This window comes from Homo sapiens, chromosome 2 (assembly GCF_000001405.40).
Source record: "Homo sapiens chromosome 2, GRCh38.p14 Primary Assembly".
In the NCBI taxonomy this organism is placed as follows: Eukaryota; Metazoa; Chordata; class Mammalia; order Primates; family Hominidae; genus Homo; species Homo sapiens.
The window spans coordinates 195,905,255-195,933,081 of NC_000002.12; the positions used below are offsets into that span (position 1 = coordinate 195,905,255).

The 27,827-nt window shown below is 37.1% G+C and overlaps 1 protein-coding gene across 11 annotated transcripts in view; it reads right to left on the reverse strand.

Annotated features, from left to right (window-relative positions):
* The window catches only part of DNAH7 (dynein axonemal heavy chain 7), a 331,135-nt gene that overhangs the window by 167,552 nt on the left and 135,756 nt on the right, over nt 1-27,827 (reverse strand). For all 11 annotated transcript variants that reach the window (XR_922968.4, XM_011511488.4, XM_017004504.3 and 8 more), the window contains 6 exons: nt 21,172-21,312; nt 18,341-18,553; nt 16,834-16,943; nt 4,773-4,941; nt 1,653-1,755; nt 1,405-1,532 (listed from right to left, as the gene is read on the reverse strand). Coding sequence is in view for 10 of the 11 variants with exons in the window: in XM_011511488.4 (XP_011509790.1) it covers nt 1,405-1,532; nt 1,653-1,755; nt 4,773-4,941; nt 16,834-16,943; nt 18,341-18,553; nt 21,172-21,312 (864 nt within the window). In the remaining variant the exon portion in view is untranslated. The remainder of the gene's footprint in view (nt 1-1,404; nt 1,533-1,652; nt 1,756-4,772; nt 4,942-16,833; nt 16,944-18,340; nt 18,554-21,171; nt 21,313-27,827) is intronic.

Sequence of the window (27,827 nt, forward strand, 5' to 3'; positions counted from 1 at the left end):
ATAGCGAACAAATACAAGAACTGCAACAACAACAAGAAAGGCTTTCCAAAAGAAAATGCCAAATAAAACTTGTAAAATGTTTCTTAGATAGAAGAGGATTTACCATTTTTCATTTGTTAATCATGCCTTCCTTCACTAAAGCAAAATCCTAAAACATAAGACTTAACATATAAAGGGGCATGAAATGGAAATACAAAAACACTTGGCAGCAATTAGTCATATCAAGTCTTTTTGGTGGAAAAGAAAAACTGCTCATTTAGTCTGGGAAGCTGTCAGTCTAAGCATGTGAAGTGTGGAAGTAATATAGGATCTAGTCAGGAGATTTGGTTTTGGATCCACAATTACTATTGCATTATTCTTCAACATTGCTGTCTGTATATGTGCCATACATATGCAATTCATCAGAAAAGGATATAAAATGGTTAACCAAAATATGGGGAAAATGTCATATTTTACTAATAATCAAAGAAAATGGTGTGTTTTTTTTTAAAGTAAAGTCTGGTCAATTCAAGAAAGTGTTTTGTTCTTTTTCATTAAAAAATTAATGCTGGGTGTCAATGAAAATTGAGAACTGATATGGGATGAAAATCATTTCAACCTGTCTTGGAGCACAATTTAGCAATAAATATCTTAGTCCCATGACTCCATCTAAAGAAATATTTCAAAATAGAGAAACGCCTTTAGTAAAAACTACTCATTGTGATATTATTTATAATGCAGGAAAACTGAAAGCACACTGAATGTCCAAAAGTAAGCTACAGTTCAGTAAATGTATTAATAGTTGGAATTATGCTTATAAAGATGGGAACGTGCTCATGATATAATATTAACGTGAAAAAAACCCACCAAGCATACACAATAGTGTGTTTCCAGCATTGTAAAAAGGCATTTAAAAGTAGGGGGACACAATCTACAGTAAGCAGTAGAATGGGTACACCCTTAGCATTTTTCTATATTTTGTAATTTTTCAAAATTAGCACTATTTTAAAAATAAATATTTTGGGAATTGTTCCTGGTGTGGATATTTACTCTGTAAAAATACTCAAAGCTTTAAAAATTGTTTTCTAAAACAATTTTCTAAAACATTATAGCTAAAACAAAATATTTTACATAAACTCAAGGATAGCATATTCTTTCTTTTCACATACACACAGAAACACACACACACACACACACTTTTAAAATATTTTCTTTCTTTCTTTTTTTTTTTTTTTTTTTTTTAAGAGACAAGGTCTCACTATGCCCAGGCTGGTCTCAAACACCTGAGTTCAAGTGATCCTCCCACCACCTCAGCCTCCTAAAGTGCTAGGATTATAGGCGTTAGCCACCACGCCCAGCTCTTTTCATATATTAACTTTGTAAATTATAGAGAAGAAATAGATTATATAATAACTCCTTCCATACCTTCAGGTTATCTGGCAGTTCTGATCGCCCAGCATACCCAGGGTTCATTGTTATAAAGACAGCACATGTGGGGTCAAGTTTTAGTTCAGTTCCTTCAAACATCAGTATATCAGCACCTGCATTAATACCTGTAGGTAATCAGGAATGAAATGACTTAGTAATACCACATATAAACATGAGCTGTGCCATTCACTACCTCTCATATTTCTTTTATTTTCACATAATGCAAAGACAAACTAGTCCATTACCTCTTTGGATAGTAAGGATTTGTTGAGCAACCACAGAGAGTACTTCCAAATCAATTCTGTTAAACTCATCAAAGCAAGCCCAGGCTCCACAAGATAACAGTCCCTATGAGAAAAGAGTAATGAAAATTTTTGACTTTATCTGATTCAATGTTGCAATGAAATGTTGTATTTTCACCTGATCTTTTCAAGGATTTAATATCCTGTCAAAGAAATTGCTTATTCGCCTTTATCTTTAAAGGCAGCTGATTTTTTCATTATCAATTCATTATTCTGCACGAATAAAAGAGTTTGATCAATTGGAAAATTTTCCAATTAACATTTTTCTCCTTTCTGCATTTTTTTTTTAGCATTTAGACATACACCTATAATCTCAAAGCCTTTCCTGCTTTTTATTTACAAGTTGATTTTACTTGCTTACTCCACATGGATTTTATAGCATAGGTTATAATAACCATCCAAATAAGATGACTTCTGTTGCCAGTGAGACTGCCTTGTGGTTTGAGCACCTTAATAGCCAACTACCACAGTTTAAGGCCCTAGTTTGCGGTCCTAACCCACAGCTACCTCACAGATATGTGCCATTCGATCATAAGGAAAAACTGGAAAATCAAGCATGAGTAGTTTCATCTGAATTCAGATCTACTTTTAAAAACATCAAATGATTCAACAAATATGTACTGAACATACATTTTATAGATTGTGTGTGTGCATGCAAGCACACACATGCATATGTTATATCGAGTACACTGTATGTGCCAACCGTGACTCACAGCACTTCATATGCATATTTTATGCAAGGACACTAAGGCTATACCATATGAGATGTTAAATAATTAGCACAAAGCCACACAGATTATAGCAGCTGACCTTGGATTTTTACACATTTCATTCTTCCGAACCACACTGGATTGTACACGAACTCTATGGATGTCAAAGAATAGTACATTCTCATTAGTTGGAGAAGACCCTATAAATGACTTTGACCTCTAATGCATGGCGACAGATCACAGAGAACAGAATGCTTTGGATGTCATATTCAAGCAGTTATATACATTTTGAGATTCTTGATAATAAAAATCATGTCTAATTTTCTACCCCCATTATTCAGCTAAATGCCTACACAAAGAAGCTATTTACAAATACTAATAAGCAAATTTAATACTATTAAGTTTATGACTCTAAATAAAAGAATGAAGACGGTCATTACATAGATTCAAAAACTGAGCAATATATACCAGACATTTCTTTAGACATTTAATAATGTGATGGCTATTCAAACTGCATGTAGAATTCTTTAGTTTTGTTATTTTTTTCTTTCATTTATATATTTTTATTTGTACAAATTTATGGAGTATGTGTGCAATTTTGCTACATGCATAGACTGCATAGTGACTGAGTCACTATGCAATTTGGTATCCCTTACTTGAATAACATACACTGGTATCATACCATTTTGGTATCCATACCATTTTATGGTATCCAACACCTGCATAACATACATTGCCCCTAATCTCTCATCACACCCCTCTCCCACCTTCGCGCCCTTCCATTTCTATCATTCTACTCTCTACAGCCATGTGTACAGATTTCTTAGCGCCCACTTATGAGTGAGAACATGGGATATTTGACTTTCTGTGCCTGGCTTGTTTCATTTAAGATAATGACCTCTAGTTCCATCCATGTTGCCGCAAAAGACATGATTTCATTCTTTTTTATGGCTGAATAGTATTTCATTGTATAGATATACCCCATTTTCTTTATCCATTTCTCCACTGATGGACACTTAGGTTGATTCCATATCTTTGCTATTGGGAATATTGCTCATTTCAACAAGGTTGTAAATCATTACAGAGAATGAATTAAAATGTTAATTGGTCATTTAAATGTTTTCATATTTTATTAATTATAATTTTGAGCTTTTAAAAGTTCTAATTCTAATTGTTCCAGTATCACAAATGGAAAGTAATTAAACTCCAGATCAGTCATATTCCAGCCAGGAACAGTTTACTGCATGGGTGAGGGTTGGTATATTCTATTTTGCTAGTTTGTTTATCTTTTTTAATGTTAACTTTTTCTGGAGAAAATTTGGAAACGTAAACATTCTAGAATTTTTAAAATGTGCTTTGCATGTACACGGACACAAAGAAAAGAACAATGGACACTGGGGCCTGTTTGAGGGTGGAGGGTGGGAGAAGAGTGAGGATTGAAAAACTACCTATTGGCTATTATGATGATTATCTGGGTGACAAAATTATCTGTACACCAGATAAACTCTCGCAACACACAATCTACCCATGTAACAAACCTGCACCTGTACCCCTGGAACCTAAAATAAAAATTGGAAATAAAAATAAAATAAAATGTGCTTTGAAAAATTACAGAAAAACATAAATAAATATATAATTTCAAGTGGATCATTTTGTGTTCAGTTGTGTCACCTAACATTTTAAGGAATAACAGGCTACAGACACAAGCTGCTAAAATAATCAGATGTTTATAGGTTTATAGGCAGGGACTTGGTATCTCTAATTCTACCTTTTGAAGCTCATGGACTGACAAGAATCTAACTTAGAATTTAAAAAAAGTAATACACTGATTTGATCTTTAGGAATTATTAAATTAGCACATGTAACCTGAAAATATGTACATCTATAATGTATAAAAATAAATTTTTAAAAATAAAAACAAATAATAAAACTTAAGATTTCAAGTTCACTGAAATGACTGATTAGAATATGTCTATAAAAGTAAATTACTAACTCAAAATAACTTCTCAATAACAAGATCTGTAGGTTAAAGATGTCTTTAGAATCCCACGACCTTTACACGATGCAATCGTTCTCAAACTCTTATCTGCTCCAATGTATTTAAGGGACACCACTTATTCCAACCAGTAATAATGACTTGTTACAGTAGGGACTGGAGAGGAAAGTAGAGATTCTCTGCAAATAGGGTTTTGCTATAACCTTATTTCCTTTAAGAATTATTGAGATAGTGCTTCAATTTTTACTTTTACTTAAGCTACAGTAAATCTTTTACTTGTATTCAATTATGTTGCATCATAAATAACCATCTCTGATCAGTTATCCTGTTGTAAAGAAATGAGGAGTTAATTCAAACCTTAAAGAATTTTCCCAAAGCCAAATAATCCAACCCATCAGAGCAGTTGAAAACAACACATTGTTTGGCTACAGCTTTTGCCAAATCCTTGGTAGTTTCAGTCTTCCCAGTGCCAGCTGGACCCTCAGGTGCTCCTCCAAGGTGCAAATGAAGGGCTCCAAATAAGGTTCTGAAACATATGAAATAGACATTCTTTGTAGAATAATGTGATTTTTTTTCCATTCACATGCCAAGAAGAGAAAAAGGTTAAATTGAGAACCAAACCTCCAGCTTCCTCTTTGATAATTTCTTCCTTCCCAGTAACCTCTGAAAATCTCTGATAGTTCATTACTTTGTCTGTTATTATATTTTATTTCTGAATAGCTATATATATGCCACATTGAGAACAAATTCACTTTTGAAATTTAATGTTGATTTCTGGCCAATATGAAGAATTCAGTTGACTTTGAATCCCCTAATTCGCCAACTGTAAGCATATGGAAATGTTACAGATAAGAAAACAAATAATAATTTAAAATACATGGCCATTTTTGAAAGAATGAAAAGAAAATTACCAACGAAGAGGGAATGCAAAGCCGGAGAATTAGACACTAAAAGATTGTTTCGGGATCAGTATATAAATAAATGAGTATATTTATGCTCAGATAGAAACAGAAAATAAACCCTCAGAAGTGAGCAATGTGGGGAGCTGGAATGGATCCACCTATATAAATCTAGAAGTCTTGAAAGGCTGTCTTGTCTCTAAATGGAAACTAAAATCACTCCAGCAACCTACTGGAGAGAGACAAAGAAGAGTCAATTATGGAAGAGACAAAGAAGCCTATCCTTCATGCGGGGCCTGATGAAAAGCTTGTATCATTTGTGCAGGGAAAAAGAGGTCCAAATTTCTACTAGTCATGGGCACATTAATCCAAAATGATAAATTAACATTTTGTTCTGAACCAGAAAAAAACTCTAGAGTCTTCCTCAGAGATAAATATGAAACTGCTCCTTATGGACACCTCCACGGGTGACAACATGCAAGACTGCATGGGGAAACAATCACTACTAAAACCAGCTCACAGTTCAAACAGGAGAGAGAGATCAGAGTTAGGAGTCAGCCTTGCTGTGGCAAAAGCAATGGACAAAGAGTGTTATTATATAAATGGCGTCCTACTCTCTATGGTATCCTGGCGGTCTGTTAAATGAGATTTTAAATATAAAGCAATAGACATCAAAAAATTGTGAGAGAAAAACAGAAGCCAATTTTATAAATGAGACAATTTGAAACTCTAGCAATAAAAATATAATTTAAAAACTCAGTGAACAAGTTAAATAGCAGAATAAACATAAGGAAACAGAAAATTATGCACTGAAAATTACTCAAAGAGATACAGAGACTGAATGTAAGAAAAGTTAAGAGACATAGAAGGAAGAAAATGGGGAAGAAGCAAAATTTAAACAGCAATGACTGATAATTTTTCAGAATTCAAGAAAAACATGAATGGAAAAAGGCCCAAATAGGATAAATAAAAACTAATCTACATCTAGTAACTTTACAGTGAACATCAACAATAAAGAGAAATCTTAAAAACTATAACAGAGAAAAGAAAATTACCTACAAAAGAATAAGAATAACAGGGACTTACCAGCAGTAGCCATGGATGCCAGGAGAATAACGAGTTTTAAGGGCTGAGGGAAAACTACTGTTCATCTACACTTCTATACCTAGCTACTCTGTCATTTAATAACTGAGCAAAGACACACAAAGAAGCATTTTTAGACAAAGACTGATAGAGCTCATTACTTGCAGAGCCTCCCTGGAACAATTACTAGAAGACATTGCCTAGTAAGGGGAAGAAAATTAAACCAAAAGTAAGGCAAAGCAAGAAGCACTGGTGAGTAAAGAAAATGATAAAAATTTTTGGTAAACCTGTATATTAATAGTAAAAAATATGTAACACTCTATTTAATAGGGTTCTTTCTTGGAATTTTGACTAAAGCCCCAAGCTGAGAACAATAAATACCATCTCATCTTATCTTATAGATGGTGAAGTTGGTTTGGAACATTAGCTATCATCAGGGCATATAAAAGTTAGATAAGAAGACCGTAAGTGAGTGATCAGGAGTGAGGACTTCTTTGGAAAGAATCATTGGTGTGTTGTGTTTTTTACCTCTCTCTGTATGGTGGAAGAAAGAGCAGCACTTTTCCCTCTCCCAAGCTAACAGAGGGGCCTTTGAGACTGCTCAGAAAACTCGACACACCATCTGCCCCTTGGATTTTCTAGAGCACAGAAACTGAGTGCTGACTCACAACCGAAAACATTTCAAGCTGAAAAGATGCCTGGAACTTCTCCTGATGGCAGAATGGGAGAAAAGAAACAGAGAGATGTGTTCCCACTGCTGGCAAAACAAATGTATGTCTATCACCTGGCCAGGTCCAGATCCCGAGAGCCAGATTTGAGTCACACTGAATGGGACCCTATGCAGAAGGCCCATCTGAAACAGGAGAAAATCCCCAAAAGAGGGTCTGTGTGTGGTGAGCCTCAGAGGCTGAAGCAAAAGCCACCTGCGGCCAGCCCGAGAAGGCATTTTCCACAGGTGGGAGAATCCGGTCACTGGAAGGGCTTTAAGGAACCCGCATAAACATCCCTTGGAAGATCTGGCACATCTGGGCTTGTGCCATCACCAAGACATCACTATACAGCCAAGAGATAGTTGTCACACAAGACACTTGTCACATATAAACCTACTTCTTTCTGTTTTCTCCCCTTCAACCTCCAATACTGGGGGAAGCAAAAGATAAGCTATTGAGGGATGAAACCAAGGACAGGGATAAAAATAGCTAAAAATTGAGCACATCTATTTTCCAAATTCAGGCTCTCAGCCTGAGTCAGGCTTGAGTTGAGGGAGAAGGGAGCTTTAAATTGGATGGGAGCTATTATTAATTTTGATTAGCTGTAAGTGGACTTTTATTATTTTAAAAAATGACACTTATAATTAATATTTTAGAGTGACCAGAAAAGCTAGGGAATCTACCCTAGATTTCATTCAGGAATGAGAAATATTTATTTAATAGAGCAACTTTAAAAAAAACAGTAATAAGAAAGAATAAAATTGCTTTCTGCTTGCATCCTAAAACTGGTTTACTCAATAAACTACTTAAAATGACTAATTTTCTGGAAAGAAATTTAAAAACAAAGTTTAATTTAGTATTTGGAATATAAGAGATAGGAACCTGGAGTTAAAGTAGTTAAAGACATTTTATTATTCAGAAAGGGAATAGAGATATTTATTAACTTTAGGCTTTATTAAGCAAAATAGGCATTCTTTAAATGTAAGATAACCTTTAAGAGAATAGAAACAGCATCCTATATCATAGCCCATATCATATCCCACGTTATATCCGTATCAAATGAGATAAATGAATAAAGAAAACTCAATCACTTAATAAAAGATAGGACATGAGAAAAACAAAGCAAAACAAAATAAAATGTTAAACTTGGAGAATATAAAGCACAAAATAAGATGATTTAAAGAAGTCCAAATAGTTTATGAATCACATTAAATATAAATGTGTTATACTTGGTAGTCAGTCAAAGAATACAGAGCCAGCCCCTCTTCATTTTCATTTGGCTAAATCTCCTTATCCTTCAATATTAGATCTCCTAATATAAGATCTCCATCCACATGTTTTTGTTGCTGTTGTTGTTTGGTTTTTTGTTTTGAGACGGAGTCTCGCTCTGTCGTCCAGGCTGGAGTGCAGTGGCGCAATCTCGGCTCACTGCAACCCTCCGCCTCCCGGGTTCAAGCGATTCTCCTGCCTCAGCCTCCCAAGTAGCTGGGATTACAGGTGCCCACCACCATGCCCAGCAAGTTTTTGTATTTTTAGTAGAAACGGGGTTTCACCATGTTGGCCAGGCTGGTCTCAATCTCCTGACCTCGTGATCTGCCTGCCTTGGCCTCTCAAAGTGCTGAGATTACAGGCGCGAGCCACCGTGCCAAGTCGCAGATCTTTTATTAACCATTTCCTTCTCAAAGCATTCCCCCATGAATTTCCATTCCCCTATGAATTTCCATTCCCCTCTGGATTAATATATCTGTAGCACCTAATGTTTACCTCTAATATTTCACTCAGTACACTGTATTGTAATTGTTTTTTAAACTGACTTTCCCATCTGACTGAAAAATGTTTAAATACAGAAACTCTATATCTTTTCTCTATCAAGAGCACTACTAAAGTATGTGGTATATAGTAGCTAATCAAAATTGCTTCTTGGATTGATAGGTGAAATTTAAGAATTATTTTTTCTCACAGTTACTTGCTAGATATACACATGTAATGTTAACTGTAAAGGGATTCCTATATTGTAAAATCTATAAAGACTTCCACTGGGTACAAGGTACAGCTGTAAGCAATTGCACTAGTGTTAGATCCTGTATAGGTTCTTCAAGTGATTGGGCCTGCCCCTGTGCCATACAATTGGCATGATATCAAAGAAGATTCCAGTACAACTGCATTGTTCTTGGCCTTAATTCTGAACCACTTGCCCTGATTCATTTGATGCTTCATAAATAATAGTCCTACCAGGCCAATGAGGAAGACTCACACATTAAGCACTATCCTCTATCTGAAAAACATCATTTTATTTTATTTACTTATTTATTTATTTTTTGAGACAGAATCTTGCTCTGTCACCCAGGCTGGAGTGCGGTGGCAAAATCTTGGCCCACTGCAACCTCTGCCTCCTGAGCTCAAGTGATTCTCCTGTCTCAGCCTCCCAAATAGCTGGGATTACAGGCATGTACCACCATGTCCCACTAATTTTTGTATTTTTAGTAGACAGGGTTTCACCATGTTGGCTAGGCTGGTCTCAAACTCCTAACCTCAGGTGATCCACCCGCCTTGGTCTCCCAAAGTGCTGGGATTCCAGGCTTAAGCCACCATACCTGGCCAAAACATTTACAATTCTAATCATTCTCTAGGAAACAATATAATTTAAAACTGCTTTTCAGTTTGTGGATATTCAATACATTTTATTAAATGCCTGCGTTATGCCAGGAAACGAGTTGGTGCTGGGGAGAGAGAGAAAAATAGGGCACAATCTTTGTCCATGAAAAGACTACAATAAAGAATATCAGATATATCAAATATATTTTCAATCCATTATGATGAGTGCTATGACAGAAGAAGATACATGGTGTGATGAGAATCACTGAGGAGAGATTCGTAATGTAGGGAATGTCAGAGAAAGGCTACCTGTAAAAGGTGATGTTCCAAAGGATTAAGTAGGAGTTAGTTGTATTTATTGAGGAACAAAAGAAAGGGAGAGAACTTGCCAGGGAAACAAGAGACTGTGTGCACAGGTAGTGAGTGAAGAAGTAGAATGGTATGCATAAGAAAGAGTTTGGTGTTACTGGAATACTGAGTCCAATAGACAGATTATATTGCACCTCATATACTATATCAGAACTTAAAAAATTGGGAAGATATTAAAGTAGCTAATAGGATGGTGCTATTAGAGCCAATGAGAAGAAAAGAGTATTGAGCAGAATCTTTCTATCTTTCCTCTTTTATTGACTATATCAGCCATATGAAGGAAACTTATATCAAAACTTCTAATTTCTCACTCCATCCATATTGTACTTAGGAGGTCAAATCCTGACATAAATGGGACCCTGTTTAAGTAGTGGTTGGAGTCATCGTGTGGCTCTCATTCCCCATCTGCAACTAGATGAATTAGATCCACTATTTTTTCTCTTGGATTCAGTTCTTCAGCCATATGGAAAGCATGCATGCTTAGCTTCAAGGAGCAGGAAATAATCAGTCATCTTCAAGCTAGGCTACATTCTTCAATCCAGATTATACATGAGAGCTCTGAATTGAGGATCAGATAATTGCTCAGCCACTTATAAACTAATAGTTTATTTTCCATTACTTTAGCTCTTTAGGTGCTCTGAAAGGAAGAAAAATGTAGATTCCAAATTCCTAACACATATTTAAGAAACATTTCTAAAATAAAATCAGATCTTTGACAAAGGAGCAAGGGCAATTTTATGGAGAACAGACAGTCTTTTCAACAAATGGTGGTGAAACAACTGGAAAAAGTGAATCTAGACACAAAATTAATTCAAAATGGATCACAGACTTAAATGTAAAACTTAAAACTATACAACTTCTATAAGACATCATCAAAGAAAATCTAGGTGATGCTGGGTTTGATGATGACTTTTTAGATATGATGCCAAAAAGCATGATTCATGAAAGAAAACTTGAAAAATTGGACTCATAAAGGTAAAAATTATCTGTGAAAGTCACTATTTCTTTTCTTTTTTTTGAGACAAGGTCTCACTCTGTCACCCTGGCTGGAGTGTGGTTGTTACAGTAGGTAGTCAGTCAGACATAAGTAGGGCAGGAGAGGGCTCCTCCCACCCCCCCACCCCTGCCCCACCAGGAATGTCAGGCGACCGTCAGGTGATGGTCAGGCAGTTGTTAACGGTCTCTCTAAAATAATAGTTGGTCATAGTCAGCTCCAGGGAAAGGCAGACTCACAATAAACAGAAACACCTGGCTGGGCACAGTGGCCCACACCTGTAATCCCAGCACTTTGGGAGGCCGAGGTGGGTGGATCACTTGGGGCCAGGAGTTTGAGACCAGCCTGGCTAAAATGCTGAAACCCCATCTCTACTAAAAATATAAAAATTAGCTGAGCATAGTGGTGCATGCCTGTAGTCCTTGCTACTCGGGAGGCTGAGGCAGGAGAGTCATTTGAAGCCTGGAGACGGAGTTTGCAGTGAGTCAAGATTGCGTCAGCCGGGCGTGGTGGCTCACGCCCGTAATTCCAGCACTTCGGGAGGTGGAGGCGGGCGGATCACGAGGTCAGGAGATCGAGACCATCCTAGCTAACATGGTGAAACCCCGTCTCTACTAAACAAAATACAAAAAATTAGCCAGGTGTGGTGGCGGGCGCCTGTAGTCCCAGCTACTCGGGAGGCTGAGTCAGGAGAATGGCGTGAACCCAGGAGGCAGAGCTTGCAGTGAGCCGAGATTGTGCCACGGCACTCCAGCCTGGGCAACAGAGTGAGACTCCACCTCAAAAAAAAAAAAAAAAAAAAAAGATTGCATCACTGCACTCCAGTCTGGGTGACAAAGTGAGATTCCATCTCAAAAAAAAAAAGAAATATCTGAAGCTGGTGATCAGCAGCTTCCCGATAAGATCTCAGGAGTTGGGCAAGTGGGCTCACAAATGCACACTGAGAGAGTCAAATGGCGGAGTTTGACAGGTATATGATCTCCTAGGGACATTCAGCTGGTAAGGGAAACACACCTCAAGTGAGCATGGGTACAACTCCAGTAAACACACTGCACATGCTCCCCTCCCAAGTGCTGGCAGGCCACTGCACAGGTGGACAGCCCACCCTAAGAAAAGAATCACAGGAGAAAGAACACAAGACCACAGAAGCATGTCAAGTCAAAAGGTCAAACTGTGCACTTGTCTTTCAAGTTGTCCACTTGGCCCTCTTCCAAGTGTACTTTCCTTCCTTTTGTTTCTGCTTCAGAGCTTTTTAATAAACTTTTACTCCTGTTCTAAAACTTGCCTCAATCTCTCCTTCTGGCTTATGCCCTTCTGTCAAATTCTTTTCTTCTGAGGAGGCAAGGAATTGAGGTTGCTTCAGACCTACATGGCTTTGCCACCAGTAACATGGTGGCTTTATCATGGCTCACTACAGCCTCAACTCCTGGACTCAAGTGATCCTCCTGCCTCAGCCTTCAATGTAGCTAGGACTAAAGGTGTGCACCACCATACTTGACCATTTTTTGTTTGTTTGTTTTACATTTTTTGTAGAGATGGGAGTTTTGCTATGTTGCCCAGGCTGGTCTTGAATTCTTGGTGTCAAGTGATCCTCCTCCCTTGGCCTCCCAAAGTGCTGGAATTATAGGTGTGAGCCACTGCACTCAGTCAAAAGATAGTATTTAGACAATACAAACGCAAGCTACATACTGGAAGGAAATATTTGCAGAAACACGTATCAGATAAAAGACTTGTATTCAAAATGTACAAAGAACACTTAAAACTTAACAAAAGAAAAATAAACAACCCAATTACAAAATGGACAAAAGATCTGAACAAACACCTCACCAAAAGAGGTATCCATATAAAAATAAACATATAAAAAGATGCTCAGCATCATATATCATTAGGGAATTGCAAAATAAAGCAAAATGAGATGCCACTACACATCTATTAGAATGACTAAAATCAAAAGCATTGACAACACCAGATAGGAACTCTCATTCACTGCTGATGGCAATGCAAATGGAGTTCCAAAGTATAGCCACTTTGGGAAACAATCTAGCAGTTTCTCACAAAGCTAAACATAGGCTTAGTGCATGATCCAGCAATCATGCTCCTAGTTATTTACCCAAATGAGTTTAAAACGATGTCCACCCAAAAACCTGCACAAGAATATTTGCAGCAGCTTTATTTATAATCACTGAAACTTGGAAGCAACCAAGATGTCCTTCGACAGGTGAATGGATAAATTGTGTTACACCCATATAATAAAGTATTATTTGTCAATAAAAGTGTGTTATCAAGCTGCAAAAAGACATGGAGGAAACTTAAATGCATATTGCTAAGTGAAAAGAGACAGTATGTATAATTCTAGATACTATATGACACTTTGGAATATATATACATGACAAAAATGGTCAGTGGTCGACAGGGGTTCTGCGGGAGAGGAGGAGGAAATTATATGTGGAGCAAGGGGGCATTTTTAGGGCAGTAAAATTATTCTTTAGTAGTGGATATATGACATTATGCATTTGTCAAAACCCACAGAACTCTACAACGCAGTAGACCCTGATATAAATTGTATAAATTGTGGACTTTAGTTAACAGGCATGTATCAATATTGGTTTATCAATTATAACAAATGTACCACACTAATGAAAGATTTTGGGCCAGGCGCAGTGGTTCAAGTGTGTAATCCCAGCACTTTGGGAGCCCGAGGCTGGCAGATCACGAGGTCAGGAGATCAAGACCATCCTGGCCAACATGGTGAAACTCTGTCTCTACTAAAAAATACAAAAAATAGCTGGGTGTGGTGGTGCACGCCTGTAATCCCAGCTACTCGGGAGACTGAGGCAGGAGAATCACTTGAACCAGGGAGTCGGAGGTTGCAGTGAGCTGAGATCACGCAGCCTGGAGACAGAGCAAGACTTTGTTTAAAAAAAAAAAAAAAAGATGTTAATGGAAGAAACTGGGTGGGATAGAGAGAGGTTAGGAATTCTCTACTTTCTGCATAATTTTTCTGTAAATCTAAAATTACTCTTTAAAAAGTCTTTTTCTTTTTTAAACAGAGTCTTGCTCTGTCACCCAGGCTGGAGTGCAGTGGCACAATCTCGGCTCACTGCAGCCTCCACCTCTTGGGTTCAAGTGATTCTTCTACCTCAGCCTCCTGAGTAGCTGGGACTACAGATGCACACCACCCCACCCAGCTAATTTTTATATTTTTAGTAGAGACAGGTTTTCACCATGTTGGCCAGACTGGTCTCAAATTCCTGGGCTCAAATGATCCATCCACCTCATCCTCCCAAAGTGCTGGGATCACAGGCATGAGCCACCACACCAGGCCAAAAAGTCTACTTTTTTAAAGGAAGAGAATTAAATAAATACATTTAATTCAATTAAATCAGTAGGGCTTACTGTGTGCCTACATGTGAAGAACTGAGAAAGAATTGAGGACAAAACTAGGTATTTATAGAGATGACTGGGTTGATAAATAGCCACTGTCATTTCCTGAGATGGGACTAGGGGAGGCTGAGTGAATTTGGGAGGTAAAATGGTACATTTGCTTTTAGAAGAAATGTAAATGTAAGTATCTATGAGATATCAAATGGAAGTATCAAGTAGGCTTGTGTATAGCAAGCTTATAGGAGAGACCTTGGCCAGAGGTACAGATATGGGGTCTTCAAGATGTAGGCCATTAAAGCATGGGACTGGATGAGAACATTCAGAAAACCACAAGGCATGAGATAAATCACTACATGAAAACAGAACTCTTGAAAACTCAGTGTTTCTAGCCCATTCTCATGGATCAATATTGTGATAATGACCATACTGCCAAAAGCAATCTACAGATTCAATACAATTCCCACATCAAAATGCCATGGTCATACTTCACAGAACTAGAAAAAAAAATCCTAAAATTCATATGGAAGCAAAAAAGAGCCTGCCTAGCCAAAGCAAAACTAAGTGAAAAGAACAAATCTGGAGGTATCACATTACCCAACTTCAAACTACACTATAAGGCTATAGTTACCAAAACAGCATGGTACTAGTATAAAAATAGGCACATAGGCACACAGACAAATGGAACAAAACAGAGAACCCAGAAATAAAGCCAAATACTTCCAGCCAACTGATCTTCAACAAAGCCAACAAAAACGTAAAGTGGGGAAAGGACATGCTATTCAACAAATGTGTTGGGATAACTGGCAAGCCATATGTAGAAGAATGAAACTGGATCCTCAGCTCTCACCTTATATAAAAATCAACTCAAGATGGATCAAAGACTTAAATCTAAGACCTGAAACCATAAAAATTCTATAAGCTAACATTGGAAAAATCCTTCTAGACATTGGCTTAGGCAAAGAGTTCATGACCAGGAACCCAAAAGCAAATGCAACAAAAACAAAGATAAATAGATGGGACTTAATTAAACTAAAAAGCTTCTGCACATCAAAAGAAATAATCAGCAGAGTAAACAGACAACCCACAGAGTGGGAGAAAATATTTGCAAACTATGCATCTGACAAAGAACTAATATCCAGAATCTACAAGGAACTCAAATCTGCAAGAAAAAAATAACTAATCCCACAAAAAGTGGGTTATGGACATGAATAGACAATTATCAAAAGAAGATATGCAAATGGCCAACAAACATATGAAAAAATGCTCAGTGTCACTAATGATCAGGGAAATGCAAATCAAAACCACAATTTGATACCACTTTATTCCTGAAGAATGGTCATAATTTAAAAATAAAAAAATAGATGTCAGTGTGGATGTAGTGAAAGGGGAACACTTTTACATCACTGGTAGGAATGTAAACTATACAACCACTATGGAAAACAATGTGGAGATTCCTTAAAGAACTAAAAGTAGATCTACCATTTGATCAAGCAATCCCATTCCTGGGTATGTACCCAGAGGAAAAGAAGTTATTGTATGGAAAAGACACTTGCACACAAATGTTTACAGTAGCACAATTTGCACTTGCAAAAATATGGAACCAGCCCAAATGCCCATCAGTCAATGAGTGGATAAAGAAAATGTGGTGTACACACACACACACACACACACACACACACACACACACACACCATGGAATACTACTCAGCCATAAAAAGGAAGGAAATGATAACATTCACAGCAACCGGGATGGAGTTGGAGACTGTTATTCTAAGTGAAGTAACTCAGGAATGGAAAACCAAACATCATATGTTCTCACTTATAAGTGAGAGCTAAGCTATGAGGACACAAAGGCCTAAGAATGGCACAATGGACTTTAGCGACTTGAGGAGAAGGGTGAGAGTGGGTGCAGGATAAAAGACTACACATTGGGTACAGTGGACATTGCTCAGGTGATGGGTGCACCAAATCTCAGAAATCACCACTAAAGAACTTATCCATGTAACCAAACACCACCTGTTCCCCATAAACCTATTGAAATAATAAAAATATCAATTTTAAAAAGAAAATTCAGTGTTTCAAGGGAACAATAAAATGACTCAAATGATCCAAGAAAAAGTCAGAAAGTTTCAGGAAGAAAGGAGGGATGGACAGCGTCAACAACAAGTGACACCTACTAATACTTAGAGCCCTAGTATTGAGAGGAGGAAGCCAGCAGAGAAAGAGAAAACGAAGACAAACCTGAGAGGAAAATCAAGGGTCTAGGAAAAAATAACACAGGCTAAATTAACAGTATGAGAGACAATTTGGTATTTTTAAATAAATCAGTGGTACAGGGGTGAGTGAAAGTTATTTCCAATAGATCCTTAAATTAAAGGGTTTACCTGTAACATCTATCCGTGAGTGGTGTAATAACCAGCCTAGGGGAATTACCCAGATATTCATATCCATATCGCAAACCAGCATTGATCATTTTTGTTTCTAAATGATTTTCCTAGGATAAATCAAATAAAATGAAGTTAAACAATAAAATTGTAAATAATATGAAATCTCAAGCTCTTTAATAAGTAATAACCATAATATAGACATCTTTAAAGTTCACTTTTCAGGTGTCATTTGATTCCATGGCAGAATTAAGTATCTAGTTTCCATCGATGAATAATTGAAGTCACTGGCTTTAATTTTTCCCATAAAATATTTTAGTATTTGTCCCTTACCTCTTCCATATTTTTAATCATTTTGTGTTAACAATAGAGTGGATATTACTCATCATTTAACAGATGAGGAAATTGATGCTTAAAGAGAATAAGTAACTTCCCCAAGGTTATACATCTGGTAACGGGAGGATCTGGCATCTGAAATGATTCCGCCATCTGAGCTTCTAGCTCAGTACTAAATACGCTGCCCCTCAATTTGTTTCCCAGGACGCTAGTTCTCACTTCTTCTCTCCTCCCACCCCATACCTCCCAAGACTTCCACAAAAGCCTATATGATGAAAACTATGCACCTGTCTATGCCCACGCCCAATAGGCCCTATCTTGCCCACTTTACTAACTGTTCCTGCCCTGTTTGCATTCCCCATCATGACTACCATCACCATCCACCTGGATGCCCTGGTAAAAACCATGTTTCTGGCTTCTTCAATTGATCAATTAGAGGAATTTTTTTTTTTTTCTGAGACAGGGTCTCACTCTGTCACCCAGGCTGGAGTGCAGTGGCGCAATCTCGGCTCACTGCAACCTCTGCCTCCTGGGGTTCAAGCAATTCTCCCACCTCAGTCCTCAAGTAGCTGGGGCTACAAGCACGCCCCACCATGTGCCCAGCTAATTTTTGTATTTTTAGTAGAGATGGGGTTTCACCATGTTGGCCAGGCTGGTCTTGAACTCCTGACCTCAAGTGATCTGCCTGCCTTGGCCTCCCAAAGTGCCAGGATTACAGGCGTGAGTCACCATGCCCAGCAATGAGAGGAAACTTTAATGACTAAATCAGACTGAAAGAGTTTGATTCATACATCCTTTAGATGCATCAAGAACCTAAAAACACAATTTTAAACTGACTAGTCCCAACATTTTGCAGATTCAGCAAGCCTAGCAACTCATTTAAAATGAGTAATTTTTGATAATTACTCATCATTTTCGTGTATCTATATATGGATATATGTTTATATATAACTATACTTTTGAATATAGATAAGGATACAGATATCAATACAGATGACATAGTTATCAGCAGCTTAATCTTCAATATAAAGAAATGCTTACTTGGGTATAGTCTGCCATCAGCAAAAGATCTCAGATTACTGCTACTATTTCCCATGTGAGCAAGCAAGCACAAATTTAAAACTACGAGCTGAAATTGCTGTGTAATATAACATTCAGTGATACCACTTACTTGCCAGTAGTACCTAAGCTGACTTAACCATTCAAAGTCAGAGTCATCGCTAATATTTTTTTTTACAAGTGATGAGAGGACATCTCTAGCATGGACATCCAGTACCACAAGTGCTCCCAGAGTTACGCGATTCTGCATGGACAATTTGCCACGCACCAAAGTGACAATATCATCAATTTGTCTGTTACATGTTTTCAAGTATTGCTCAAGAGCCTGAAAGAAAAGAAAATAAGATATGATTTCCCAATGTGATCAAAATTATTTTGAACAAAACATTCTGAACTAGTATATATACAGATTATTCTCTGCATTTTGATTACAACTTTCCATGTAATACAATTTAAAAATAATTTGTTTTTCTGACTACAAAGATACTAGGTAAACAAGACCAATCAGGCCACGTATAATGGATATATGTAATTTGTGTCTACTCATTATCCTTTCCTTTTCTATTTCTTCTCTATTCTCTGTGGTTTTGTTGGAGCTGTCAATCATATTGCCCACTCTCCATGGCAATATGGAGGGGATGTGTGACTAAACCAGAGCCAATCACAGTTCTTCCTGGGGACTGCTATATAGATTGAGAGAAAAAGTACTCTTCACTAGGCTTGGTAGGCTGTGGATATGCCAACTTGAAGTAACTACAAGCTGTCTTCTGCTCTACAGAATAAAGCCTACCAGAGCCAAGAGAGATAGAAAGCAACAACAAAAGACAGCCCAGGGCTGGGCGTGGAGGCCTATAATCCCAGCACTTTGGGAGGCCAAGGCGGGCAGATCACTTGAGGTCAGGAGTTTTGAGACCAGCCTGACCAACATGGTGAAACCCCGTCTCTACCAAAAATATAAAAAGTTAGCTGGGTGTGGTGGCATGTGCCTGTAATCCCAGCTACTCGGGAGGCTGAGGCAGCAGAATAGCTTGAAACTGGGAGGTGGAGGTTGCAGTGAGCCAAGATCACGCCACTGCACTCCAGCCTGGGTGACAGAGCGAGACTCCATCACAAAAAAAAAAAAAGAGAGAGAGAGAGCAAGAGAGAGGCCACAGCACCATGCAGCCCTGAGGTCCTGATTCTGACTGTTCCTGTTTAGATCCTATGAGTCCCTCTAGTAACTCTCACATAAGCTTTCTGAAAGGGGTTTGTGCTTCTTGAAATATAAAGATGCTAATAAACAAAACATTGAATATGTTAGTTTATAATAAGCTAATGCCAGTTCTGAAGACCAGGCTTGCTTCTCTTTTCTGGCAGGTAAATCTAATGAGTAAGTTAAAAAAGACAAAAATAAAATTATAGTCAACAAAAAACACTGTGCTTAAGAGACATATCAATATGCTCCAGTGGCTGCTTTTTCTACTTTAAAAACATTTAATAAAACTGTACACCACGGAGTTTATTTCACTCTGTTACAGCCATTGCTAAGTGGCAGCAATGAAACTAAAAGTGAGGGTTCCCAAGAATGAGAAAAAGTTTAAAAGACAGAGATGAGGACTGCAAGTTGTTTCTCCAAGGGGCACTTTTCTTGTTTCCTGAAATACTTCATCTTTTTTTATTTTTTTTTTTAAGAAAGATCAGTTTTCAAAGGTTTGGTGCCTAAACACTATTTCATTTCTATTATTTACACGGTTAATTTGCTATTAATTTTCTTCTTCAGTAGCAAAAAATAAACTTCTGTCCCACCCATGTTCAACCACAAGCAGGGAGATCCCAGGAGGCTGCACGTCCCCTGGCGGGCCACCTTGGAGAAATCCCTCTGAGTGTGGTGGTTGGTGAGTGGTAGCTTAAAAGTAGAAAGACAAAATGAATTCTCTGGACTCACTGAGGAAAAAGGAAAAATACACATGGGGAGAAACACCCAAGGGCCCAAAAGTAAACTCAGGGGCTTACTGCTATTAGGGATACTCTTATGCCCCAGTGCCCTGCTTTTCATGAAGAAAGACCTTTTCCTGAAAACCCTTGACTTCCTGTTTTACACCCTATTCCTTCTTGTAGAGGAGAAGTAGGTGACCTGTTGGTAAGTTGGAGTGAATTAAACATGTGTCACTCAGTCCCTTACTCTTTGGAATCTGTCTGTCTACAGAGAACTTGCATCATTTTCAAACCCCTGTTCAACAATGTCTTAAAGACATTTCAAATTCCATGTCAAAAACATATTTAACAATTATGATTTTAAACTACAGATCTATATTTGCTAGTTTCCAGTTGACCCCTCAGTCAACTGAAAGCTGACTCACTTAAAATCCTATCTCAATGATAGAACTGCTGCAATGAATGTAATTTTAGTTTTTCATTAACAATTACAATCTAATTAATATTAAATTAATATATCCAATTATATTAGAATGTTTACATATTTAATACTAAGCATCATTTAAATATTCATAATTATTATGTATTCACAATCAATACATTAGAAATAAAAACAGTCACAATAAGTCAACTGGAGCCTTATCTATATAGGGTAGTTTTACTCAAGGTATAAAAGAGAATACTGTTACTTTATTTCCTGCTAATCTTTATGAGTTTCTTAGTCCTATTATCACTCTATTTTTAAAGGCATAAAATGTATATAATAACAAGATTGAGGTTCAAGTATCATTGACTTTTATATACCGTGAATAAACATGATTTAAACATAAATTTTGAAATTATTGGTATAAATTTTTCCTACATATTTGTTATGTGCAATTTTTATTTAAAAAATCTGTAATTTGGCTTGCAGCATAAAGTAGATTTTTAAGTGAACTGTATTTATTTTAGTTTTTAAAATAAGTGTATTCTGGCAATAATACTATTGAAAAAATGCTTAAAAAAACCCGAGGGTTAATAAAACCTTACCTTTATCCCCATTGGAATAGCTGTTTGTACTTCTTTTGTCCAAAAGATTTGGGATACACAGAGAACAGTCTGTCCAGGCCAATCCCTTACCCAGTTAATTCGTTCATATTTTGTATAGGCAAAAGTTGCATCTCCAGTTACCTAATCAAAAAAGAATATGCTAAATATTAACCATTTCCTGAACAAGTTATACAATTGAGAGCTAAACTAAACTAGATTAATTCATACTGCTCAATTTTTTACAACATTCTTAGACATTTATGCAAGACTCACTTAAACCGTGTGATTACAACTAATTATATTCAAGTTTAATCACATACCTATAAGCAAGGCAAACATATTACATAACATTTTATTTTCCTGATGTACTATCAATTTGTGTGAACCACATGGTATCAAATATTCATTTGAATAATTTTAGCCAAAGACATCCTAGATACATTTGGATTGAACAAGCATGAGCAATTTTACTGCAAAATACAAATTCAAATAATTCCAAAATGAGATCCATCAAATTTATAGATTATTTTCTTTTAATTTAATCAGATCTCCACTCAGCCATATGCCTGTACACATGCACACTTGGGCATCACACAATCTTTCTCAAGTTACTCCTGTGTTTCCAGGCCTCACTCCCTCTCAATCCTGTAGTTTGAAGCCCAAAGCAATGATGACAGAGACAGATGTACGATTCATTCATGGAGAGTTGAGGGCTGTAAAGTCAGGAAGTCTAATTTTGTACTTCAATACCTACGTTCGGTGGACTGATACATCTACTTTTTCTACCAGCCATCGGTGGGAAACACACTAGTCTGTTACATGCATCAACCAAAAATAGTGATGTCTGTGAGGTGGTATGTACTTTAATGTTTGAATTTCAGAAAAGATTTCTTAGATTTTTCTGAAAAATATCTCAGGATGGTTAAACCACTCTGGATTTCTACTCTTGCTGGGATATTTATAGAATGGAACAATGATAAAGGGCAGAATGCTGGGTGTTGATATTAAAGACATTTTTAAGAGCAGAAGAAGCCACGGAAAGAACAGGTGAAAATGGACAGCTGAGGGATGAGAGAAGCAAGTAAATAAATAAATAAATAAATTAATTAATTAATTAAAAAAATAGGCGTAGCAGAGAAATGCCAAGAAGATGGAGTAAAAATGTGCTCTAGAAGGACACTGTGGGGAGAACAAGAGAAAGACATTCAAATCTGGATCACAAAAAGGGATTTCTATATAGTTAGATGAGGAGAAATATGATTATATAAAGTTCCACAATATTATATGTAAAGTCTATTATTATATCTATGTTTACCATATTATATATGATATATATAGAATAACATATATATGTAGTAGCCTTTCAAGCATGCAAATACACATAGCACAACACAGTAACACACATATCTCCTATTTGTAGAACTGTATACTGCACTTGCTTGGATATTTTGTCAACACAAACTTATACAGGAAGATTTTTAAAAGATACTTATTTTCTACATCACTTTTTTTAAACTTTATTTTTTGTATTTTTCAACTTTTATTTTAGATACAGGGGGTATATGTGCAGGTTTGTTACATGGGCATATTGCACCAAGGTAGTGAGCATAGTGCCCAATAGTTAGTTTTTAAACTCATGCTCCCCTTTCTTCTCTCCCCATCTAGAGGTCTACAGTGTCTATTGTTGCCATGTTTATGTCCACGTGTGCTCAGTGTTTAGCTCCCACTTATAAGTGAGAACACATGGTATTTGGTTTTCTGTTCCTGTGTTAATTTGTTTAGGATTATGGACTCCAGCTCCATCTATGTTGCTACAAAGGACATGATTCCATTCTTTTTCATGCCTGCATATCCTATACAACTTCTTGCCACCCTATCTTAATGCTTTGAAATGGCAACCAAAATATTTTCTCCAAGTACTTTGACAATCAAAATTAAAGGAGTAGTTTAAATATTATCAGATATACATAAAATAATGACTTATTACTCTATACTACATAAATTAGCAAATCATATAAGCCAATTTAATGCTGCTAAAGAGTGGCCAAAGTGGAATATATTAATATTGCCAATGGTTACAAAAACAGTAATGCTATTTGTCAATATTTATCAAGGCCTATGAAAACTCATCTTCTTTGGCCCAGTAAACCCAGACATGGGCCGTTATCACACAAAAATTAAAATTCAAAGAAACCAGATATATGCATAAGTACATTCATTATAATATAATTCATAATAGGGAGAAAATCAGACCTATCCAAAAGATTTTAAATTTTCTGGAAAATATTGTGTAGGGAAGCATTAAAGCCATATTTAACAGAAACATTAAGAAGAGAAAGAAACAATGGTAACATTGAACATCTAGATTCCAGTGAATTTTTCCAACACATTTGTGGGAGAGTCTGACACATTAATTTAAATATAAATTAACTGGAAGTCCTAGACAGAGCGATCAGGCAAGAGAAAGAAATAAAAGGTATCCAAATAGGAAAAGAAGAAGTCAAACAATCCCTCTTCACTGGCAATATGATTCTACACCTAGAAAACCTCAAAGACCCCACCAAAAGACTCCTGGAGCTGATAAATGACTTCAGTAAAGTTTCAGGATATAAAATCAATGTACAAAAATCGGTAACATTTCTATACCCCAATAATGTTCAAGCTGAGAGCCAAATCAAGAATGCAATCCCATTCACAACAGCCACAGACAAAAATAAAATACCTAGGAATTCATCTAACCAAAGAGGTAAAAGATCTCTACAAGGAGAACTACAAAACACTACTGAAAGAAATCACAGATGACACAAACAAATAGAAAAATATTCCATGCTCATGGATTAGAAAAATCAGTATCATTAAAATGGTCATACTGCCCAAAGCAACCTACAAATTCAACACTATTCCTATCAAGCTACCAACATCATTTTTCACAGAACTGGAAAAAACCATTCTAAAATTCACATGGAACCACAAGAGCCTGAACAGCCAAAGAAATTCTAAGCAAAAAGAACAAAGCCAGAAGCATTACATTAGCCAACTTCAAAGTATATTATAAGGCTATCATATCCAACACAGCATGGTATGTGTACAAAAACAGGCACACAGAATAATGGAACAAAATAGGGAGCCCAGAAATAAAGGTGCACACCTATACCCATCTGCTCTTTGACAAAGTCAACAAAAATAAGCAATGGAGAAAGGACTCCCTATTCAATAAACGGTGCTTAAATAGCTGGCTAGCCATATGAAGAAGAATGAAACTTTACCCCCAACTTTCATCATATACAAAAATTAACTCAAGATGGATTAATATTTAAAGGTAAGACTTCAAACTATAAGAATCCTAGAAGAAAACCTAGGACACACCATTCTAGACATTGGTCTTGGGAAAGTATTTATGACTAAGTTCTCAAAAGCAATTGCAACAAAAACAAAAATTGACAAGTGGAAACTAATTACACTAAAGAGCTTTGGCACAGCAAAAGAAACTATCAACAGAGTAAACAGACAACCTATAGACTGTGAGAAAACATTCACAAACTATGTATCTGACCAAGGTCTAATATCCAGATTCTATAAGGAACTTAAACAATTGAACAAGCAAAAAACAAACAACCCAATTAAAAAATGAGCAGCAGGCCAGGTGCGCTGGCTCACGCCTGTAATCCCAGAACTTTGGGAGGTCAAGACAGGTGGATCACGAGGTCAAGAGATTGAGACCATCCTGGTCAACACGATGAAACCACGTCTCTACTAAAAATACAAAAATTAGCTGGGTGTGGTGGCGCACGCCTGTAGTACCAGCCACTCAGGAGCTGAGACAGAAGAATTGCTTGAATCCAGGAGATGGGGGTTGCAGTGAGATGAGATTGCACCACTGCACTCCAGCCTGGTGACAGAGCGAGACACCGCCTCAAAAAAAGAAAAGAAAATGAGCAGCAGGCATGAATAGATACTTCTCCAAAGAAGACATACTAGTGACCAAAAAACATATGAAAAATGCTCCACATCACTAACCATCAGAAAATATAAATCAGTACCAAAATGAGATATCATCTCACCCCACTCAGAATGGCTATTACTAAAAAGTCAAAAAACAAAAAATGCTGATAAGGCTGCAGAGAAAAGGGAATGCTTATACACTATTGGTGGGATTGTAAGTTAGTTCAGCTGCTGTGGAAAGCAGTTTGGAGATCTCTCAAAGAACTTAAAACAGAACTACCGTTCAACCCAGCAACCCCATTACTGAGTATATATCCAAAAGAAAATAAATTGTTCTACCAAAAAGACACATATACTCATATGTTCACTGGAGCAGTATTCACAATAGCAAAGACATGGAATCAACCTAGGTGCCATCAATGGTGGCCTGGATTAAGAAAATGTGATAAATATACACCATATAATACTATGCAGCCACAAAAATAATGAAATTATGTTCTTTGCAGCAACATGGATGCAGCTGGAGACCATCATCCTAAGCGAATTAACACAGGAACAGAAAATCAAATACCACACGTTCCCACTTACAAGTAAGTGGAAACTAAACCTTAGGTACTCATGGTCACAGATGGGAATGGCAACAATAGACACTGGGGACTACTACAAGGAGGAGGAAGAGAGGGGTCAAGGTTGATATACTAACTATTGGGTACTATGCTCAGTACCTGGGTGATGGGATCAATCACTCCCCAAACCTCAGAATCACACGATATATCTATGTAACAAACCTGCACATGTACCCCTGAATCTAAAAGTTGATATTTAAAAAAATAAAAATTTAGCTGCATAAATGTCTTCTTTTGAGAAGTGTCTGTTCATATTCTTCCCCACTTGTTGATGGGGTTGTTGTTTTCTTGTAAATTTGTTTGAGTTCATTGTAGATTCTGGATATTAGGCCTTTGTCAGATGAGTAGGTTGCGAAAATTTTCTCCCATTCTGTAGGTTGCCTGTTCACTCTGATGGTAGTTTCTTTTGCTGTGCAGAAGCTCTTTAGTTTAATGAGATCCCATTTGTCAATTTTGGCTTTTGTTGCCATTGCTTTTGGTGTTTTAGACATGAAGTCCTTGCCCATGCCTATGTCCTGAATGGTATTGCCTAGGTTTTCTTCTAGGGTTTTTATGGTTTTAGGTCTAACATTTAAGTCTTTAATCCATCTTGAATTAATTTTTGTATAAGGTGTAAGGAAGGGATCCAGTTTCAGCTTTCTACATATGGCTAGCCAGTTTTCCCAGCACCATTTATTAAATAGGGAATCCTTTCCCAATTTCTTGTTTTTGTCAGGTTTGTCAAAGATCAGATAGTTGTAAATATGTGGCATTATTTCTGAGGGCTCTGTTCTGTTACATTGGTCTACATCTCTGTTTTGGTAACAGTGCCATGCTGTTTTGGTTACTGTAGCCTTGTAGTATAGTTTGAAGTCAGGTAGCTTGATGCCTCCAGCTTTGTTCTTTTGGCTTAGGATTGACTTGGCAATGTGGGCTCTTTTTTGGTTCCATATGAACTTTAAAGTAGTTTTTTCCAATTCTGTGAAGAAAGTCATTGGTACTTTGATGGGGATGGCATTGAATCTATAAATTACCTTGGGCAGTATGGCCATTTTCATGATATTGATTATTCCTACCCATGAGCATGGAATGTTCTTCCATTTGTTTGTATCCTCTTTTATTTCATTGAGCAGTGGTTTGTAGTTCTCCTTGAAGAGGTCCTTCACATCCCTTCTAAGTTGGATTCCTAGGTATTGTACTCTCTTTGAAGCAATTGTGAATGGGAATTCACTCATGATTTGGCTCTCTGTCTGTTGTTGGTGTATAAGAATGCTTGTGATTTTTGCACATTGATTTTGTATCCTGAGACTTTTCTGAAGTTGCTTATCAGCTTAAGGAGATTTTGGGCTGAGACAGTGGGGTTTTCTAGATATACAATCATGTCATCTGCAGCAGAGACAGTTTGACTTCCTCTTTTCCTACTTGAATACCCTTTATGTCCTTATGCCTGATTGCCCTGGCCAGAACTTCCAACACTATGTTGAATAGGAGTGGTGAGAGACGGCATCCCTGTCTTGTGCCAGTTTTCAAAGGGAATGCTTCTAGTTTTTGCCCATTCAGTATGATACTGGCTGTGGGTTTGTCATAGAGAGCTCTTATTGATGGGATGATATACATCCCATCAATACCTAATTTATTGAGAGTTTTTAGAATGAAGTGTTGTTGAATTTTGTCAAAGGCCTTTTCTGCATCTATTGAGATAATCATGTGGTTTTTGTCGTTGGTTCTGTTTATATGCTGGATTACATTTATTTATTTGTGTGTGTCGAACCAGCCTTGCATCCCAGGGATGAAGCCCACTTGATTGTGGTGGATAAGCTTTTTGATGTGCTGCTGGATTCGGTTTGCCAGTATTTTATTGAGGATTTTTGCATCGATGTTCATCAGGGATATTGGTCTAAAATTCTCTTTTTTTGCTGTGTCTCTGCCAGGCTTTGGTAGCAGGATGATGCTGGCCTCATAAAATGAGTTAGGGAAGATTCCCTCTTTTTCTATTGATTGGAATAGTTTCAGAAGGAATGGTACCAGCTCCTCCTTGTACCTCTGGTAGAATTCAGCTGTGAATCCATCTGGTCCTGGACTTTTTTTGGTTGGTAAGCTATTAATTAT